The sequence below is a fragment of the Homo sapiens genome, chromosome Y (genome assembly GCF_000001405.40).
Source record: "Homo sapiens chromosome Y, GRCh38.p14 Primary Assembly".
In the NCBI taxonomy this organism is placed as follows: domain Eukaryota; kingdom Metazoa; phylum Chordata; class Mammalia; order Primates; family Hominidae; genus Homo; species Homo sapiens.
Window position 1 is genome coordinate 22,454,892 of NC_000024.10, and position 22,022 is coordinate 22,476,913.

Here is a 22,022-nt window from a genome sequence, read left to right on the forward strand (position 1 = left end):
CACAGATTATTTAGTGGCCAGGGATTTCAGAGATCATAAAAAATGACAGGTATTCTGGCTGCTCTCCAGGTTTTGGGCTGTTGCCTCTTTGCGGGGGCTGAGGATGTATGCACTTTGCAGGATGGTTTTGCGCCCTGTGACAGGAATCATTGAACATTGCTTGGGCTCCAGCACAAGACAGTTTGTTCTGTAGTGAGCCTTGATTTTTGTTTGCTTTCATGGGGAATCCACAGTGCCCATCAACAGCAATACTGGACACCCTTTCAAGGCTTGCCATCACCACAGCTGGACTCTGAGACACTGTCTCAACTCATTTGCACTTGTGAGAGGCCAGGCCATAGTGTGAGAACATTACTCCAACTTTGATTTGCCTTTGTCTTGGTTCTGGCTTTTCCCAGAGAGCCCTGCGAGGCTCAGGATGAAGGGAGGAATTGAGATCAAGAGCCTGGCCATCTTTCACTGACACCCACCTCTGGGGTCTCAGGTATTATTCTATCACTGAAAGAGCTGTCAACAACACAGCAGACTATATTCCAATCCCTGCTGGAACGGATTCTTGCATATAGATCTTTCTTGAATGGAGTCAGAAGAGCAGTTTCCTGTGACCACCTCACAGTAACAAAATGCTTCTGCCTCCAGCAGGACCCGACCACCGAGACAGCCTGGAGTGTTCACCAGTTTGACAGTTTTAGGGTCCTGAAGTGAGTGTTTGCAGGCAGCGTTTTTTTTTTTACACCAGCACGGCTCTGCCTTTACCATTTTCCTCTGCTTAGGTAGGGTGACAGCTCTGACAGCACTGCACCCGAGCCTCCCTCACGAATGTGCATGTGCTAGTCTTAGGGCACCAGGCCTGATTTTTGAGTTCTGGCTAGCATCACAGTGCATGCCACCGTTGCCTAGCAACAAGTCCCTGCTACTTGGTGGAGAAGATTTCCATGAAAGTGTGTTGGTTTTGATCTCTCACCTGTCTTCTCTGTGGAATCCATGACATAACCCACATTCCTAGGAGGGGGCAGACGTGAGCCAGCTTGAAGAGACATCAAGCACAGCCCCAGGAATAAACCATAATATCCCTAAGGATGCAAAAGATCTTCAGGATTCCTCAGGACAGCCTAGATGTTGTAGGGGTGAGTCTTTTTGAAACTTGCCTCATAGTGATTTCTAGGTACAGCCCAAATGTTTTTTTGGGTTGCTGTCTCCAAGATGGGGATTCCCACAGAACCATGCAGCCTCAGGAGCTGCCAGTGTGTGTTTATCTGTGGGAGTGTTGTGAGTGTTGTTTGTGTGTGTGTGTGGCATTGTGTGTGTGTGTATGTGCCTGTAAGTGGAGTATGCTTAAAATAATGTGGCTAATGCACTTCAGCGCTTCTTTTTTTGAGTATCCCAACATTCTGTTGGGTGGTCAGTGTGGCTCTGCTTGGGCTGTGGGGCTCCATGTTCTTTATTTTTCTGTGGATCATGAATCTGCAGTGAATTGGGAAGCAAGTTGAAACACATGGGCATTCAAGTTACCTCCCCCTGCAAAAAAATGCCACTCTTCTAGAAAGAAGAGGAACACACCACAGCAAAAATAAGACATCTTCCAGTGTTTTGTTGTCCTGTGGTGAACCCAGGGAGAAAATATAGCAGTACTGTCTGCAAAGCCGCTTGACTTTACCTCGTATATGGGTCACAGCTGAGCACGTGTTTCATGTCGTGAGTGGGCACTCCAACATCGCCTTGAGATTTCATCCTGGAACATAGAGGGTGAGCAGCAATAAGTTCAGGTAGGGTTGAGGATACAATCTGGTGAGTGGTTCATGGGGTCCCACAATATCTCTGCAAAAAAATAAATAGATAAGTAAATGAAGACAGATGACCCAGAAGGTGCTTCCAACTCCATAGCTAGTTGTTCAGTTGGCAGTACTCCAACGAGCAGGGAACATTTCAAGAGCAAACTGGGGCCATCCTTGTAAACTCCCACTATGTGGGCTTTTATATCCGGAGCCAAAGGAGAGTGTATTGGATTGATGCTGGATAGGATGTGGCCTATATACTTACCTCTTCTTTTTCTGCCTTTCATGTTGCTCTTCAGCCTAGGGTTTTCTGGGTCTGAATCCACGTCTTCCAAACTAAAACTTTCTGAGTTCACAGAGGAAGACCCTCATGGAAATCCACTGCGTGAGTGTTTCTTTCTAAACTGTCAAGTTTTAATGACTGGGCAGCTGTGATACTTGTAAAAACTTAAATTCCTCTTACAGCCACCAACATGGAAATTCTTGTTCTCCCACTTTTATCAGAGGGCTGCATGATTCCTGTAGGAGGATATGCAGGCAGTCGTTCTGCATTTGCCTGGTAATCTTGGCTTTGTTTCACTTCATCTGCACGTCCTTCTTCGCTGTGGAGTGGATCTTTCATTGGATCTTGCCGGATTGGACTGCCTCTCACTACAGATCTTTTGGCTACCAGGAATTTCAGGAAGCATAAAGAACTTTGTGTAGACTGGCTATGCCCCAGGTTTTGTGTCATCAGTCTCCTTGTGGAGGCTGATGTTGTTCACACTTTTCAGGAGGCTTTTGGGTCCTCTGACAAAAATCTTTGAACATTGCTTGAACTCCCACACAAGTCAGCTTGTTCTCCCAGATGAACCTAGATTCTTCTTTGCTTTTATGGGGGGTCCACTTTGCACCTCATCAGCACTACTGGATAGCCTTTTCTGGCTTGCTATCACCACAGATGCCTCTGATACACTGTCACAACCTCATCTGCACCCATGAGAGGCCAGTTTGAGGTGTGGGAACAATACTTTATCTTGGACTTGCTTTTGTCGTGGTTTCTGCCTCTCCCGGAGAGTCCCTGATAGGTCCAGGATGATGGGAGACAGTGAGGTCAAGGGGCCAGCCATCTTTTGCTCACACCTGCCTCTTGGGTCTCAGCAATGATTCCATCACCAAAGGACCCATCAAAAACTCACCAAAGGGCATTCCAATCCCCATGGGAATGGAATCTTGCACACAGCCTCTCTGGGGAATGAAGGCAGAGATGCAGATTACAAAGGCCAGTTCAGTCTCAAAGCGACTCCTCCTTCAGTGGAACCTGACCTCAGAGACTGCCAAAATGGCCCTATGGTCTAGACTTTTTCGATCTGGCAGTGGGTTATCACAGGTAGTATTTTTGGCCATGCCAGGCCAGCTCTGCCTGTACCAATTTCCTCTGCTTAAGCAGGCTGACAGCTCTGAGAGCCAGGTGCCTGATCCTTCCTCAAGAATGCACAGTCACCTGTCTCTGTGGTATCCACGGGATTGTCCCATGATCCTAGCCTGGAGAAACATCAACCACAGCTCCAGGAATACACTGCAAAATCCCTAAGGATGCAAAAGGATATGCTGGAATCCTCAGGCCTGCCGAGGCATTGTAGGAGTGAGTCTTTTTGAAACTTGCCCCACTGAAATTTCTAGGTACAGTTCTCCTGTGTTTCTTGGTGTTGCTCTCTCCCAAGTTGGGATTCCTGCAGAATCACACAGCCACAGGAGCTATCCAACTTTTTTTTGTGTGTGGGAGTGTTGTGAATCTTGGATGTCTGCCTGTGTGTGTGGCATTGTGTATTTGTTTGTGTGTGTTTGTGTGCCTGTAAGTGGAGACTGCTTAAAATAATGTGGCTAATGCACTTCAGTGCTTCATTTTTTTTTTTGTCTCCAAACCTTTCTGGTGGAGTGTTGCAAGTGTTGGATGTCTGAATGCGTGTGTGGCATTGAGTGTTTGTGTATATGCGTGTGTGTGATTGTATGTGCAGTCTGCTTAAAGGAATGTTGCTAACGCACTTCAGTGCTTCCTTTTTTTGTGTCTACCCAACTTCTGTTGGCTTGTCTGTGTGGCTCTGCTTGGGCTGTGGGGCTCTTTCCCAGGTGGTGTTTCCTGCACAACAATGCATCCTGAGTAGTTTCTGGGTTGGGTATTTCTGTAGGAGTGTCGCAAATGTTGGATGTCTGTGTGTGTGTGGCATTGTGTGTGCCATAAAAACCACCATTCTAGAAAGAAGAGGAGCACACAACACCAAAAAATAGATATCTTTCAGTGTTTTATTGTCCTTTGGCAAACCCAGGAGAGACATTAGCAGTCCTGTCCACAGGGTCTCTTGAATTAACCTCGAATTCCCTTCCCAGCTGAACAGGTGATTCACATCTTGCTGGGGTGGGGGGCACATTTTAAAAATCATTTTGGGATTTCACCCTAGGACATAGAGTGTGGATAGCATTAAGTTCAGACAGAGGTAAAGATACAATCTTGTGAGGGGTGCATGGGGTGACAAAACTTTACCTGCAAGAAAAATGAAGACAGATGACACAGAAGGTGCTTTCAGCCTCATCGCGTAGTGTTCAGTTGGAAGTACTCCAACGGGCAGGGAACATTTGAATTGCAAACTGGGGATATCCTGGCAAACTCCGGATTTGAGGGCTTTCATACCCGCAGCCAAATGGGAGTGAGATGGATTGATGATGGGTAGGATGTGGCCTTCACACTTGCCTATTCTTTTTCTGACTTCCTTATTTCTTGTGGGCCTAGGGTTTCCTGGGTCTGGCTCTAAGTCTTTCACACTAAATGTTTCCCATTTTGCGGAGGACGACCCTCATGGGAATCCATTGCTTGAGTGTTTCCTTCTAAACACTGTGACATTTTAATGAGTGGGCAGCTGTGATACCTTTAACATGATAAATTCCCATTACAGCCACTGACAAGGAAACTGTTTTTCTCCCACTTATATCAGAGGGCTGCATGATTCCTGTAGGATGAGAAGCAGGCCATCGTGCCTGGCTTTTAACTGGTAAACTAGACTCTGTTTCATTTCAGTTGCACGTCCTTTCTCATCATGGAGGGTGTTGCTGGACAGGACTGCCTCTTGCCACAGATCTTTTGGCTGCCAGGGATTTCAGGGACCAAAAGAGACTTTGAATAGGATTGCTGTGCTCCAGGTGGTGGGTCATGGTCTCCATCTGGGGGCTGAGGTTGTTTGAATTTTGCAGGAGGATTTTGGGTCCTCTGATGGAAATCTTGGAACGTTGCTAGGCCTCCAGCACAAATCAGCTCATTCTCTCAGGAGAGCCTTCATTTTTCACTCCTTTCATGTGTGGTCCACTGTGTCCCTCAAAAGCACTACTGGATACTTTTTCCAGGCTGGCAATCACCACAGAGGGCATGTGAGACATTGTCTCAACATCATCTGCATGCATGATAGGCCTTTTGGAGGTGTGAGAATGGAGCTCCACTTTGGACTTTCCTTTGTTGGTGTTCCTGGCTTTCCCAGAGAGTGGCAGTGAGGCCCAGTGTGGAGGGAGACAGTGAGGTTAAGGACCCAGTCATCTTTCACTGACAACCACCTCTGGTGTCTCAGCTATGATTCCATTAACTAAAGATCCCTCAACAACACACTAGCCTATATTCCAATCCCCAGGGGACTTGATTCTTGCACACAACCTCTTTCATAAATGGAGTCAGAAGAGAATTTTTCAGTAACCACCTCAGCATCTCGAAACACCTCACCTTACTGTGTGACCCAGCCACAGAGGTGTCCTGAAGATGTTCTCAGGTGGAGACTTTTAGGGTCCCGCCTTAGCTTATTGCAGGCTGCCTTTTTCCTGCTCCCAAACATTCTCTGCCTGTACCATTTTCCTCTGCTTAGGCAGTCTGACAGCTCTGACATCCAGATGCCAGAGTTGGCTTCATGAATATCCATGTGCTTGTCTCAGGGCACAAGGCCTGAGCTGTGGTCTCTGGCTAGAGTCACAATGAATGCCACCTTTGCCTAGTGACAACTCCTGCAGCTTCACAGAAAAGGAGACCTCCATGGAGGTGCTTTGGTGTTGGACTTTCCCTTGTTTTCTTTGTGGGATCCAAGGAACAGTCCCATGATCCTAAGAGATGGTACAGTGAGCCAGCCTGAAGAAATGTCAAGGAGAGTCCTAGAAATAGACTGAGAAATCCCTACACATACAAAAAGATCTGCACAATGCCGCAGGCTTGCCTAGAGGTTGTAGGATGAATCTTTTTGAAACTTACCCCACTGTGATTTCTAGGTACAGCCGAGCTGTTTTCCCTAGGTTTATTCCTCCAGGTGGAGCTTCCTGCAGAACCAGGCAGCCTCAGAAGCAGCCAGGCTGTGTTTCTGTGGAAGTGTTTTGCAAGTGTTGGATGTCTTCACGTGTTTGTGGCTTAGAGTGTGTGTGTGTGTGTGTGTGCACGCGCGTTTTTATGTGTGTGCCTGTAAGTGGAATCTCCTTAAAGGAATGTGGCTAACGAATTTCAGCACTTTTTTTTTTTTGAGTCTCAGAAACTTTTGGTGGCCTCTCTGTGTGGGTCTGCTTGGGCTCCAGAGGTCCATGTTCTTTATATTTCTGTGGACTATTAATCCGCAGTGAATTTGAAGGTGAGCTGATACATGTGGGCATCCAAGTCACCTCACCCTGCAAGAAAATTGACTCCTTTAGAAAGAAAAGGGGCACACCACACCAAAAAAGAGGCATCTCTCAGTGTTTTATTTTCCTGTGGCCAACCCACAGAGAGACAATAGCAGTCCTGTCTGCAGGTCCCCTTGAATGTACCTTGAATTCGGTTCCCAGCCCAGCAGGTGCTTCACGTCATGAGGAAACACTCCTCCATCATTTTGGGATTTCCTTCTGTGAAATAGATTGTGAACAAGTCAGATAGGAGTGAAGATACAATTTGGTGAAGAGTAAATGGTGTCCTGCAACTTCACCTGCCAAAAAAAAAAAAAAAAAAATGAAGGCAGATGACACAGAAGTGGTTTCCCACTCCATCCCCACATTCTTTTAATTGCACAAGCAGTCCACGCAATGGCCTGGTGTTCAAGTGGAGTCCTGCAACGTGCCAGGAAAAGTTGGAGTGCAAATTGGGGCCATTCTGACAAACTCCAGATTTGGGGTTTTTCATACCTGGAGCCAAATGGGACTGGAAAGGACTGATGCTGAATGGGGATGTGGCCTTCATGTTTGCCTCTTCTTTCCCTGACTTCCATGTTCCTTGTCAGCCTATGGTTTCCTGAGTCTGGCTTAATCACTTGCACGCTAAAGGTTTCCCCCTGCACGGAGAACGACCCTCATGGGAATCCATTGAGTGAGTGTTTCTTTCTAAGCACTGTTATGTTTAAATGACTGGGCAGCTTTGATACTTTTAAAATCATAAATTACCACTACCGCTGCCAACAAGGAAAGTCACGGTACTACATTCCTATCCCCTTGGGACCAGATTCTTGCACACAGCCTATTCCGGAAATGAAGTCAGAAGAACAGTTTCCACCCACCACTTCACAGTCTTGAAATGCCTCATACTCCAGCGGAACCCAACCACGGAGACGATAAGAAGTAGCCCTAAGGTCGAGACATTTAGAGTACCACAGGATATTACCCCAGGCAAACTTTTTCTCAGTATGAAGGCGGCTCTACTTGTACCATCTTCCTCTGCCTAGGAAGGCTGACAGCCAGTACATGAGCCATCCACACAAATGCACGTTTGCTAGTCTCAGGGCACGAGGCCTTAGTTTTGAGCTCTGGCTAGCATCACAATGAATGCCACAGTGGCCTAAGTCTACACATCTTGGCAGAGAAGGGGACCTCTGTGGAGTTGTGGATCCTCAAGATAGTTCCATGATCCTAGAAGAAGGCAGATATGAACAAGCCTGAAGAAACATCAAGCAGAGCTTCAGGAATAAACCACAAAATTCATAAGGATCTAAAAGATCTGCGGGATGTCTCAGGCATGCCTAGATGTTGTAGCAGTGAGTCTTTTGAAACCTACCCCACTTTGATTTCTAACTACAGCCCACCTGTGTTCCCCAAAGTTCCTGTCTTTCAATTAAGGCTTCCTGCAGGACCACGCAAACTCAGAACCTGCCATGCTGTGTTCTTCTGTGGAAGTGTTGCAAGTGTTAGATATCTCCGTGTTTGTGTGGCTTTGTGTGTGTGTGTTTATGTGTTAGTGTGTGGCTAAGTGGAGTCTGCTTAATGGAATGTGGATAACACACTGCATCGCTTCCTTTTTTTGAAACTCCACACCTTTTGGTGGCCTGTTGGTGTGGCTCTGCTTGAGTTGCAGGGCTCTGTGTCCCTTATTTTTCTGTGGACTATGAATTTGCAGTGAATTAGGAGACTGTCTGAGAGAGGCATAGGTTCAAGTTACCTCCCCCTGCAAAAAAAGCCATTCTTCTAGAAAGAAGAGGAGCACATCACACCCCAAAACAATGTGTTTCATTCTGTGTTTCATTGTTCTGCAGCCAACCCAGTGTGAGAAACTAGCAGTCCTATGTGAAGGGACCTTTGAATTTACTTTGAATTCTGTTCTCAGCTGAGTAGGTGCTTCATGTCCTCATATGGCACTCCTCCATCATCTTGTGATTTCATTCTGGGACAGAGAGTGTGAGAAGTAACAAGGTAAAATAGGGGTGAGGATACAATCTGGTGAGGGGTAAATAGAGTTCAGCACATTCTCCTGCAAAAACGGTGAAGACAGATGACACAGAAGGTACTTCCAACTGCATGCCCACATTCCCTTAATTACACAGGCAGTTCATATTATGTCCTGGTGTTGAGGTGGGAGTAATACAATGTTGAGGGAACATTTGGAGTGCAAGCTGGGGCGGTTCTAACAAGCTCCCGATTTGAGAGCTCTCATACCCTGAGCCAAATGAGAGTGGGATGTGTTGATGCTGGGTGGGATGTGCCCTGCACACTTGTCTCTTCTTTTCCTGACTTCCATGTTCCTCATCGGCCTAGGGCTTCCTGGGTCTGGCTCCACATCTTCCACACTAAGCAATTCACAGTTCATGGGGGATGACCTTCATGGGAATCCAATGCATGAGTGTTTTCTTCTAAACACTGTCACATTTTAAAGACTGGAAAGATGTGATAATTTTAACACTGTAAGTTTTCGTTACAGCCACCAATAAAGAAACTCTTGTTCTCCCACTTTTATCAGAGGGCTGCATGATTCCTCTAGCATGAAAAGCAGGCAGCTGTGTTGGGCTTTTGCCTGGTAATCTAGCCCCTGTTTCATTGCATCTGCCAGTCCTTTCTCAATGCGAATGAGGTCTTTCATTGGGCTGTTGCTGGATGGGGTTGCCTCTCACCACAGACCAATTGGCTGTCAGGGATTTCAAGGATGAAAAGGGACTTTGGGTAGGCTGACTTCATCCAGGTTGTAGTTTGTGGTGTCATTGTGAGTGCTAAAGTTGTTTGCAGTCTGCAGAAGGTTTTTGGATACTCTGACTGGAATCATTGAACATTGCTTGGATGCAAGCTCAAGGCAAGTCATTTTCTGAAGTGAGCTTTGATGTTTCTTTGCTTTCATAGGGAATCCACAGTGCCCCTCAACTGCACTACTGTTCACCAGTTTCAGGCTTGCCATCACCACAGAGGGCATCTGAGATATTGTCTGAACCTCATCTGCACCCATGAGAGACCAGATCGAGGTGAGAACACTGGCCCTCTTTGGAATTCCCTTTGTCATGGTTCCTGCCTTTTGTGGAGGGCCCCAGCAAGGCCCAGGGTGGAGAGAGACAGTGAGGTAAAGAGCCCAGCCATCTTTCACTGACACCCATCTCTGGGATCTCAGGTATAATTCTGTCACCCAAAGAACCCTCAACAACACACCAGACCAAATTCTGATTCTCATGGGATGGGATTCTTGCAAAAAGCATCCTTTCGGAATGGAGTAGGAAGAGCAGTTTCTAGTCGCCACCTCAGAGTCTCAAAATGCCTCCTCCTCCAGCAAGACTCGACCATGGAGATGGCCAGAAGGGGCCCTGAGGTCGAGACCTTGGGGTCTGACAGTGGTTTCTCATGGGAAACCTTTTTCCCAAGACCAGACTGACTTTACCTGCACAATTTTTCTCTTCTTAGGCAGACTGATAGCTCTGACAGCTAGGTGCCTGTACCTGCCTCAGGAATGCATATGCACTAGTCTCAGGACACCAGTCCTCATTGTGAGCTCTGGCTAGCATCACAATGAATGTCATCATTGCCTAGAGACAAGTTCCTGCCTCTTGAGGAAGGAGACCTCCCTGTAGGTATGTCGGCTGTGGACTCTTGCCTGTCTTCTCTGTGGGATCCAAGAGATAGTCCCATGATCCTACGAGAGAGTAGATGTGAGCCAGCCAAAAGAAACATCAAACAGAGGCCCAGGAATAAATTGCAAAATCCCTAAGGATCCAAAAGATCTGCAGGATTCCTCAGGCCTGCCTAGATGTTGTAGGGGTGAGTCTTTTTCAAACTTGTTCCATTGTGATTTCTAGTTACAGCCTGCATGTTCCCCTGGGTTGCTGTCTCCCAAAAGGGGATCTAGCAAAACCATGCAGCGTCAGAAGCTAACAAGCAGTGTGTTTCTTCAGGATTCTTGCAAGTGTTGGATGTCTGCCTGTGTGTGTGGTATTTTGTGTGTGTGTGTGTGTGTGTGTGTGTGTGCGCCTGTAAGTCACTTCTGCTTAAAGGAATGTGGCAAACACACTCCAGGGCTTCATCTTTTTTGAGTCTCCCAATCATTTGTTGGCCTGTCTGTGTGGCTCTGCTTCAGTTGTGAGGCTTTGTGTTATTTATTTTTGTGTGGATCATGAGTCTGCAGCAAATTGAGAGGTGGGCAGAGACCTGCCAATGTCCAAATCACCTGCCCCTGCAAAGAAAACCACACTTCTGTAAAGAAGAGAAGCACACCACACCAAAAAACAGACATCTCCCAGTGTTTCATTGTCCTGTGTCCCACCCAGAAAGAAACACTAGCAGTCCTCTGCAGAAACCCCTGAATTTACATCGAATTTGGCTCCCAGCTGAGCGGTTCTTCATGTCATGATGGGGCACTCCTCCTTTGTCTTGGGATATCATCCTGGGACATAGAATATGAGCAGGGAGAAATTCAGATATGGGTGAGGATACAATCTGGTGAGGAGTGGATGGGGCTCTGCAAATTCATCTGCAAAAAAAAAATAAATACAAATGACAAAGATCCTTCTTTAAACTCCATCCCTGCATTTCCTTAATTACACAAGCTGTCCATACCTTGGCCCAGTGTTCAGGTGGGAGTACTCTAATGTGCAAAAAACATTTGGACTGCAAATTGAAGCCATCTTGGTAAACCCTGGATTTGAGGCCTTTTACACCCAGAGGCAAATGGGAGTGGAATGGGTTGATGCTGTGTGGGATGTGGCCTCCACACTGGCCTCTTCTTTTCTGACTTCCATGTTCCTCATCAGCCTAGGATTTCCTAGGCTGAGCCTAGGGTCTGACTCAACGACTTCCACACTAAACATTTCAGAATTCACAGAGAATGGGCCTTATGAAAATTCACTGTCTTACTGCCTCTTTCTAAACACTGTCATGTGTCAATGACTGTGCAGCTTTGAATTTTTTAAAACCATAAATTCTCATTACAGCCATCATAAGGAAACTGTTGTTCACCCATTTCTATCAGAGGGCTGAATGATTCCCGAAAAGTGAGAAGAAGACAGCCATGTCTGCTTTGACCTTGTAATCTAGCCTCTGTTTCACCTTGTCTGCATGGCCTTCTAATTGGGGAGGGTCTCTTTCACTGGGCTGTTGCTGAATGGAACTGCCCCTCACCACACATCTTTTGGCTGCCAGGGATTTGAGAGAGCAAAAGGGACTTTGGGTAGGCTGGCTGCACTCTAGCTTGTGGTGCTTTTCTCATTGTGGGAGCTGAGGTTGTTTACATTTTCCAGGAGGATTTTGGGTCCTCTGACAGGAATTATTGAACATTACTTGGACTCCAGCACAGGGAAGCTTGTTCTCTCAGGTGAGCAGTGAATTTTTTTTTTTTTTTTGCTTTCATGGGGATTCAACAGTGCCCCTCAACAGCACTACTGGACACCCTTCTTCAGAGTTGCCATCACCACATATATCCTCTGAGACACCATCTGAATCTCATCAGCACCCCTGAGAGGCCAGTATGAGGTGTGAGAACACTGCTTTACCTTTGACTTGCCTTGCCGTGGTTCCTGCTTTTCAAAGAGGGCCCCTGAAAGGCCCAAAATAAAGGGAGGCAATGAGGTCAAGTGCCAGGCTATCTTTTGCTCACATCCACCACTGGGGTCTCAGGTATGAATCTATCACTTAAAGAACCCTCAACAACACACCAGACAATATTCCAATCACCATGGGACCCATTTCTGGCACACAGCCTCTTTTGGGAATGGATTCAGAAGGTTTCCAGTGACCACCTCACAGTCTGGAAACACCTCCTCCTCCAGTAGGACCTGACCAGAGAGATGGCCAGAAAGGGTCTTTAGATTGAGAGTTTTAGGGTCCTGCAGTGGGTTTTCACAGGCAGCATTTTTCTCAATACCGGCCAGCTCTGCCTGTATTATTTTCCTCTGCTTTGGTAGGCTGACAGGTCTGACAGCCAGGTGCCCAAGCCTGCCTGCCTCATGAATGTGCATGCACAAGTCTCAGGGCACCAAGACTGTTACTGAGCTTTAGTGAGCATCCCAATGATTGTCATTGCTGGCTAGTGACAAGTCCCTTCATCTTGGCAGAGAAAAAGACATACATGGAGCTGCGTGGTTGGTGAACTCTCATCTGTCTTCTCTGTGGAATCCACAGGATAGTCCCATGAGCCTATGAGAGGGCAAATGAGAGCCGTCCTGAAGAAACGTCAACCACAGCACGAGGAATAAACCTCAAAATCCCTAAGGATCCAAAAAAATCTGAAGGATAACTTAGGCCTGCCTAGACTTTGTAGGTGTGAGTCTTTTTGAAAGTTGCAGCACTGTGATTTCTAGGAACAGCCCACCTGTATTCCCTGGGGTTGCCTATCCCAGGTTAGCTTCTTGCAGAACCACAAAACCACAGGAGCTGACAAACTGTGTTTCTGAAAGAGTGTTGTGAGAGTTGGATGTTGGCATGGGTGTGTGACATTGTTTTGTGTGTGTGTGTGTGTGTTTGTAAGTGGAGTTTGCTTAAAGAATGTGGCTACTACACTTCAGCGCTTGGTTTTTTTTGAGTCTTGCAAACTTTTGGTGGCCTGTCTGTGTGGCTCTGCTTGGGCTGTGGGGCTCCATGTTATTTATTTTTCTGTGGATCATGAATCCGCAGTGAACTGAGAGGTGGGCTGAGACCTGCCAGTGTCCAAGTCACCTGCCACTGCAAAAAAAAAAAAAAAAAAAGCCACCCTTCTAGAATGAAGAGGAGCACACCACACCAAAAAACGGGCATACCACGAATTCAGTTTCACTGCTGAGCAGGTTCTTCAGGTCATGAGAGGGCACTCCTCCATCATCTGGGCATTCATCCCAGGACATACAGTATGAGCAGGAATAAGGTCAGATAGGAGTGAGGATACAATCTGGTGATGGGTGGAGGGAGCCCCAGAACTTCATCTGAAAAAAAAAATGAAGACAGATGACACAGAAGGTGATTCCAACTCCATCCCCTCATTCCCTTAATTGCGGAAGTAGTCCACACCATAACTCAGCTTCAGATTGGAGCACAGCAACGTGCAAGGAACATTTTGAGTGCAAATTGGGGACATCCTGGCAAACTTCTGATTTGAAGGATTTCAATCTGAGAGCCAAATGCGACTGGAATGAATTGATGTTGGGTGGGATGTGGCTTCCAAACTTGCCTCTTCTTTTCCTGACTTGCATGTTCCTCATTGACCTGTGGTTTCCTGGGTTTGCCTCAACAACTGTTACACTAAATGTTTCCTAGTTCATGGAGAACAACCTTCATGGAAATCCATTGAGTGAGTGTTTTCTTCTAAACACTTTCACATTTTAATGACTGGGCAGCTTTGATACCTTTAAACGGTAAATTCCCATTACAGCCACCAACAAGGAAACTCTTCTTTTCCCTCTGTTATCAGAGGGCTGAATGATTCCTGTATGATGAGAAGCAGGCAGCCGTGTCTAGATTTAGCCTGGTAATATAGCCTCTGCTTCATTTCATCTGCTCATCCTTCTCTTTGTGGATGGGCTCTTTCATTGGCCTGTTGCTGGATGGGACTGCCTCTTGCCACAGATATTTTCGTTGCCAGGAATTTCAGGAAGAAAAATCGTTGTAGAGTAGACTGGCTGCACGTTGGGTTTTCAATCATTATCTTGTGGGAGCTGAGGTTGTTTGCATTTTGAAAGAGGCTTCTTCTTTCTGTGACAGGAATATGGAAATGTTGCTTGGACCCCAGCACAAGTCAGCTCTTTCTTTCAGGTGATGCTTGATGTTTCTTGGCTTTCATGGGGGATTCACATTGCCCCTCAACCACACTACTGGATACACTTTTCAGGATTGCAATCTCCACAGGTGGCCTCTGAGACACTGTCTGAACCTCATCTGCACCTGTGAGAGACCAGTTCGAGGTCTGAGAACATTGCTTCAATTTGGACGTGCCTTTGTCATGGTTCCTGCTTTTCCCAGATAGCACCTGAGCAACCCAGAATGAAGGAATGCAGTGAGGTCAAGGCCAGGCCATCTTTCACTGACAACTTTTTTCTGGTATTTCAAGTAAGAGCCCATCACCCAAAGAACCCTCAACATCTCACCGTAATATATTCCAATCCCCATGGGACAGGATTCTTGCACAAAGCCTCTTTCAGGAATGGAGTCAGAAGAGTAGTTTCCAGTGACAACCTCACAGTCTTGAAATGGCTCTGCCTCCAGTGTGACCTGACCATGGAGACAGCGTATAAGGGCCCTAAGGTTGAGACTTTTAGGATCCTGCAATGGGTTATCACAGGCAGCCTTTTTCCTGATACCAGGCCAACTCTGTGTGTACCATTTTCCTCTGCTTAGGCAGGCTGACAGCCCTGACACCCTGGTGCTCTAATTTGAGTCACTAATGTGGATGTGCTAGTCTTAGGGCAATGGGCCTGAGCTGCGAGCTCTGGCTAGCATTACAATGAATGCCACCTTTGCCTAGTGACAATTCTCTTTGGCTTGATGGAGAAGGAGATCTCTGTGGAGGTGCATCGGCAGTAGACTCTCACCTGTCTTCTCCGTGGGATCCATGGGCTAGTCCCATGATCCTAGGAGAGGGCAGATGTGAGCCTGCCTGAAGAAATGTCAAGCAGAGCCCCAGGAATAAAGCACAAAATCCGTACAGATCCAAAAGGATCTGCAGAATTCTTCAGGCCTGCCTAGACATTGTAGCAGTTTGTCTTATTGAAATGTGTCCCACTGTAATTTCTAAGTTTAGCCTTCCTTTGTTTTCCAAGCTTTCTCTCTCCCAGGAGGGGCTTCCTGCAGAATGAAGCAGCCTCAGAAGCTACTGGGCTGTGTGTTACTGCGGGAGTATTGCAAGTGTTGGATGTCTGCATGTGTGTGTGGCTTTATGTGTTTATGTGTGTGTGTCTGTGTGTGTGCATGTAAGTGAATTCGGCTTAAAGGAATGTAACTAACACACTGCAGTGCTTTTTTATTTTTTATTCTCCCAACCTTTTGGTGGCCTGTCTGTGTGTCTCTGCTTGGACTGTGGTGCTCCCTGTTCTTTATTTTTCTGTGGATCATGAATCAGCAATGACTAGTTAAGCAGTCTGTGACAAGCTGGGTTCCCCATTATCTGCCCCTGAAAAAAAAAGGCACTCCTCTAGAAAGAAGAGGAGAGCATCACACCCAAGAACAGATAGCTCCCAATGTTTCACTATAATGCAGCCAACCCAGAGACAGTAGCACTCTGGTCCCCATAACCTCTTGAATTTACCCAGAATTCAGTTTCCAGCCAAGAAGGTGCTTCATGTCCTGTGGGTGCACTCCTCCATCAACTTGAGATTTCATGCTGGAACAGAGAGTGTGACAGCAATAAAGTCAGATACGGGTGAGGACACAATCTGGTAAGGTTTGGATGGGGTTCTGCAACTCCATCTGCAAAAAACTATGAATACAGGCGACACAAAAGGAGCTTTCAATTCCATTTCCGTCACTTTAATTGCACAAGCAGTCCTCACCATGGCCCAGTATTCAGGTGGGAGTATTCCAAAGCAAAAGAACTATTTGGAGTGCAAATTTGGGCCATCCTGGAAAACTCCTGATTTGAGGGCTTTCTTACCTGGAGTCAAATGGGAATGGAATGGATTGATGCTGGGTGGGATGTGGCCTCCAGACTTGCCTCTTCTTTTCATGACTTTCATGTTTCTCATTGGCATATGGTTTCCTGGGTCTGGCTCAATGACTTCCATACTAAACATTTCCCAGTTAACTAAGAACAAGCCCCATAAGAATCCATTGCGTGAATGTTTCCTTCTATACACTATCATGTTTTAAATACTGGGGAGATTTGATACTTTTAAAAACATAAATGCCCATTACTGCCAACAGTAAGGAAACTCTTGTTCTCCCACTTCTATCGAGGGCTACAGGATTCCTGTAGGATGAGAAGCAGGCAGCCATTTCTGGCTTTTGCCTGGTAATCTAGCTTCTGTTTTATTTCTTCTGCATGGCTGTCCCATTATGGAGGGGCTAATTCATTGGGCTGTTGCTGGATGGAATGGCTTCTTGCCACAGATTATTTAGCTGCCAGAGATTTCTGAGAGCCAAAGGGACTTCAGGTGGGTTGGCTGAGATCCAGGTTATGTGTCGTTGTCTTGCTGTGGGTGTTGAGGTTGTTTGCACTTTGTCGGAGGCTTTTGGGTCCTCTGAAATGAGTCATTGAACACTGCTTGGACTCCAGCACAAGGCAGCTCATTCTTTCAGGTGAGAGTTGATTTTTCTTTGCTTTCATGCGGAATCCACAGTGCTCCTCAACAATAGTACTGGACACCCTTTTCAGATTTGCCATAACCAGAAACAGCCTCTGAGACTCTGTCTCAACGTCATCTGCACCCGTGAGAGGCCAGTCCCAGGTGTCAGAACACTGCTTTACTTTGGACTTGCCTTTGTCGTGGTTCCTGCCTTTCACAGAGAGCCCCTGCAAAGACCAGGATGAAGGGAGGCCGTGAGGTCAAGAAAACAGCCATCTTTCACTGACACCTGCATCTGAGTTCTCAACAACACGCCACACAATATTCCAATCCCCATGTGAGCTGATTCTTGCACACAACCTCTTTTGAAAATGGATTCAGAAGGGCAGTTTACAGAACTAACTCACAGTCTTGAAACACCTCCCCCTCCAGAGAAACCTGAAAATGGGGATGGCCAAAAGGGGCCCTGAGGTTGAGACTCTTAATGTCCCAGAGTGGATTTTCTCAAGCAGCCTTTTTCATGATACCAAACTGGCTCTGCCTGTACCCTTTTTCTGCTAAGGCAGGCTGACAGCTCTGACAGAAGAGTTCCCAAACTGACCTCACAAATATGCATACACTTGTCTCAGGGCACCAGGCCTGATTGTGAGCTTTGGCTAGTGTCACATTAAATGTCATCGTTGCCTAGTGACAAGTCCCTGCTGCTTGGCTGAGAAAGAGGCCTCTGTGAAGGTGCATCAGTGGTGTACTCTTGCCTGTCTTCACTGTGGGATCCATGGGATAGTCCCAAGATCCTAAGAGAGGACAGGCATGAGCCAGTCTGAAAAACTTCAAGCACAGCCCAAGGAATAAACTGTGAAATCCCCAAAGATCCAAAAGCATTTGCAGGATTTATCAGGTCCATGAAATTGTTGTAGAAATGAGTCTCCTAGAAACTGCCCCACTGTGATAACTAGTACAGCCCCCATTTTTTCCCCAGGATTGCAGTCTCCCAGGTAGGGCTTCATGAAGAACCATGCAGCCTCTAGAGCTGCCAGGCTGTGTGTTTCTGTGGGAGTGTTGCAAATGTTGGATGTGTGGGTGTGTGTGTCTGTGTGTGTTTGTGTGTGTGTGTGCCCATAAGTGGAGCCACCTTAAAGGAATGGGGCTAACACACTTCAGTGCTTCTTTTTTTTTTTTGTTTTTTAGATTCCTATCTTTTCTTGGCCTGTCTATGTGGCTCTGCTGGAGCTGCAGGGCTCCATGTTCTTTATTTTTCTGTTGATCATGAATCCTTAGTGAATTGGGAGGTGGCCTGAGACCCCCCAGCATCCAAATTACCTCCCCCTGAAAAAAAAGGCCCTCTCTAGAAAGATGAGGAGCACACCACACACACAAAAAACGAACATATCCCAGTGTTTTATCATCCTGTGGCCAACCAAGGGGGAGACACTAGCAGTCCTGTCTGCAGGGCACCTTGAATTTACCTTGAATTCGATCACGTGCTTCATGTCATGAAGGGGTCCACTTCCATTGTCTTGGGATTTTATCCTGTGACATAGAATGTGAGCAGAAATAAGGTCAGATGCGGTGAGTATAAAACCTGCTGAGGGGTGGATGGAGTCCCACAACTTAACCTGCAAAAATAAAAAGGAAGACAGATGACACAGAAGGTGCTTCCAACACCATCCCCGCATTCCCTTAATTGCACCAGCTGTCCACACCATGACCTGGTTTCTGGTGCAAGTACTCCAACCTACCAGGAACTTTTGGTATGTAAATTAGGGCCATTCTGACAAACTCCTTATATGAGGGCTTTCATATCCAGAGCCAAATGGGAGCGGAATGCATTGGTGCTCTGTGTGATGTGGCCCCTAGATTTGCCTCTTCTTTTCCTGACTTCCATGTTCATCATTGGCCTAGCATTTTCTATGACTGGCTCAAGAATTTCCACACTAAACATTACCCAGTTCAAAGAGAGCAACCCTCATGGGAATCCATTGCAGGAGTGTTTCCTTCTCACAGTCACATTTTAATGACTGGGAATCTTAGACACTTTTAAAACTATAAATTCTCATTACAGCCACCAACAAGAAAACTCTTGTTCTCCCTCTTCCATTGGAGGGCTGCATGATTTCTGAAGAATGAAAATCAGGCAGCCATGTCTGGCTTTTGTCTGGTAATCTAGCCTTTGTTTCGTCTCATCTGCACCACCTTCTCATTGTGGAAGTGTTTTTTTATTGGGCTGCTGCTGTATTGGGCTGCCTCTCATCACAAATTATTTAGCTGCCAGGGATTTCATAAAGCAAAAAGGTCTTTGGGCAGGCTGGCTGCGCTGCAGGTTTGGGTCGTTATCTCATTGTGGTGACTGAGGTTGTTTGCACTTTGCAGCAGGGTTTTGGGTCCTCTGACAGGAAATATTGAACATTTCTTGGGCTCCAGCACAAGGCAGCCCATTCTCTCAGGCCAGTATTGATTTTCATTTGCTTTCATTTTGAATCCATAGTTTCCCTCAATAGCACCACTGGACAGTTTTGTCAGGCTTGCCATCACCACAGGCAACCTCTGAGACACGGTCTCAATTTTATCTGCATCCATGAGAGGCCAGCCCAAAGTACTGCTCCACATTGGACTTGGCTTTGTTATGGTTCCTTCATTTCCCAAAGAACTATTAAAAGACCCAGGATGAAGGGAGACAGTGAGGTCAAGAATCCGGCCATCTTTCATTGATAGCTGCCTCTGGGGTTTAAGTATGATTCTATCACCCAAACAACCCTCAACAACACACTGGACTAGATTCCATTCCCCATGGTATTCGATTCTGGCACACAGCCTTCTATGGGAATGAAGCTGGAAGAGCAGTTTCCAGTGACAACCTCACAGTTTTGAAACACCTCCTCCTCCAGCAGGACCTGACCACAGAAGATGCCTGAAGGGGCCCTGAGGCTGAGAGTTTTGGAGTCCTGAAGTGGTTTTTGACAAGCAACATTTTTCCTGATGGTAGGCCAGCTCTGCCTCTACCATTTTTCTCTGCTTAGGAAGGCTGACAGTTCTGAGAGCTGGGTGCCTGAGCCTACTTCACAAATGCACATACACTAGTCTCCAGGCCAGATTGTGAGCTCTAGCTAGCATCACAAAGAATGTCACCATTGCCTAGAGACAAGTACCTTCCTCTTGGCAGAGAAGGAGACCTTTGTAGAGGTTCGTCAATGGTGGACTGTTGCCTGTCTTCTCTGTGGAATCCGCAGGATAGTCCCATGATCCTAGGAGATTTCAGATGAGAGCCAGAGTCAGGAAACATAAGCACAGCCCCAGGAATAAACCACAAAATGTTTAGGAATCCAAAGGGATCTGCAGGATACCTTAGGGCTGCCTAGACCTTGTAGGTGTGAGTGAGTCTTCTTGAAACTTGCCCCACTGTGATTTCTAGTTACAGCCCGCCTGTGTTCCCCAGGCTTGCTCTATGCCAGATGTGGCTTCCTGCAGAACCACACAGCCTCAGGAGCTGCCAGACTGTGTGTTTCTGTGGGAATGTTGGGAGTGTTGGAAGTCTACGTGTGTGTCACATCGTGATTTTGTGTGTGTGTGTGCTCTTGTAAGTGCAGGCTTCTTAAAGAAATGTGGCTACCACACTTCACCACTGTAGGGAGACCCCATGAAACTATTACTACAGAATAAAAGATGAAATGACCTGATTATTGTAAATACAAAGTTGCATGCAGGATTGTGTAAAGACAATGCCAGATTGGACTGCCAGAATGAGCCAACAGCACGTGATGTGCTTCCCCCTGCAGAGACCCTATGAATGGACATGCAGTCAGGTTTCACATCACCAAGACTCCTGTCCCAGAAAAGCAGATGTCCGTAGCTCTGGGAATGGAATGCAATCCTCATAGAGAGCCTATAAATGGACACATGGGGGGCGCCTGTCCATATGGATAAGATAAGGCTATAAATGCCCTCATCTTGCCACGGCTCTTCTAGGCCTCTTTAGGGTTAAGGCATACTCCTTTCTGAGAATTTCTGGTCTAACTGGTTGTCTAGCTTCACATCTTGTTTCCATGGATTGTTTGTAACCAGCTTTGTTGCAATTGTTACTGCTGATTAATATCTTGCTAATCATAGGTTATGGAAAGACTGTGTTTCTGTTCTAAGGCTCTGTTAGAAATTACTGATGCACACACTATATTGTAAATTCTTATCTCTCTGTATACTGTACTTCTACATAAAAAATGTACTGTACTTGTACATACAAATGCTATGTTAAAGAATTACTTCATCCCCATGTGACCATCTCACCTTATAATGAAATGACCCTAAATCCCTCACTAACCTACACCTGCCCTCACTACACTTAATAATAAATGCTGGTATATCCAGTGCATTGTTGGCACCACAGGACCAGAAAGCGGTGACCCCCCTGGACCCAGCTTTCACTATCTTGTGTGTGTCTATTATTTCTCAACCTGCCAATCCACCTAGGAACAAAGAGAGAACTCCATTGCATTGTGGGCTTCTGGCCAGATCCTGCAATACAACGCTTCTTTTTTTGTGCCTCCAAACCTTTTGTTTGACCTTTATGTGTGCTCTGCTTGGCCTGTGGGGCTCCATGTTTTTGAATTTTCTGGTTATCATGAATCCACAGTGAATTGGGAGGCAGGCTGAGACCTGCTGGTGTCCAAATCCCTCCCCCTGCAAAAATAAATAAATAAATTAATTAATAAACATAAAATAAAAATAAAAATCCACTCTGCTAGAAAGAAGAAGAGCACACCACACCCAAAAAATGGACACCTGCTACCGTTTCATTGTCCTGCATCCAACCCAGGGAGAGGAACTAGCAGTCCTGTCTGCAGGTCCCCTTGAGTTGACCATGAATTCAGTTTCCAGCTATGCAGGTGTTTTGTGTTATGAAGGGGCACTTCTCCATCATCTTGGGTTTTCATCCTGGGACACTGAGTATAAGAAGGAATAAGGTGAGATTGGAGTGAGGATATGATTTGATGAGAAGTGGAAGGGATCCCACAACTTCACCTGCAATAAAAATGAAGACAAATGACACAGGAGGTGCTTCTAACCCCATGCTCACGTTTCATTAATTGCACAAGCAATCCACACCATGGCCCAATGTTCAGGTGGAAGTTCTGCAATGTGCAAGGAGTATTGGGAGTGCCAATTGGGACCATGCTGGCAAGCTCTTGATTTGAGGCCTTTCCTACACGGAGCCAAAAGGGAGTGGAATGTTCTGATGTTGGGTGGGATGTGGTCTCCACATTTGCCTCTTCTTTTCCTGACTTCCATGTCCCTTGTCAGCCTAGGGTTTCCTGGGTCTGGCTTAACAAATTCCACAGTAAACATTTCCCAGCTCATGAAGAACGAC

General features: G+C 46.4%; 1 long non-coding RNA gene across 1 annotated transcript in view; it reads left to right on the forward strand.

Moving 5' to 3' along the window:
- Nucleotides 1-22,022, forward strand: part of LOC101929148 (uncharacterized) — a 45,775-nt gene that overhangs the window by 15,952 nt on the left and 7,801 nt on the right. The window contains exons 4-7 of the long non-coding RNA NR_110413.1: nt 1,544-1,766; nt 2,075-2,160; nt 9,339-9,457; nt 9,888-10,241. This is a non-coding gene — a long non-coding RNA (uncharacterized LOC101929148). The remainder of the gene's footprint in view (nt 1-1,543; nt 1,767-2,074; nt 2,161-9,338; nt 9,458-9,887; nt 10,242-22,022) is intronic.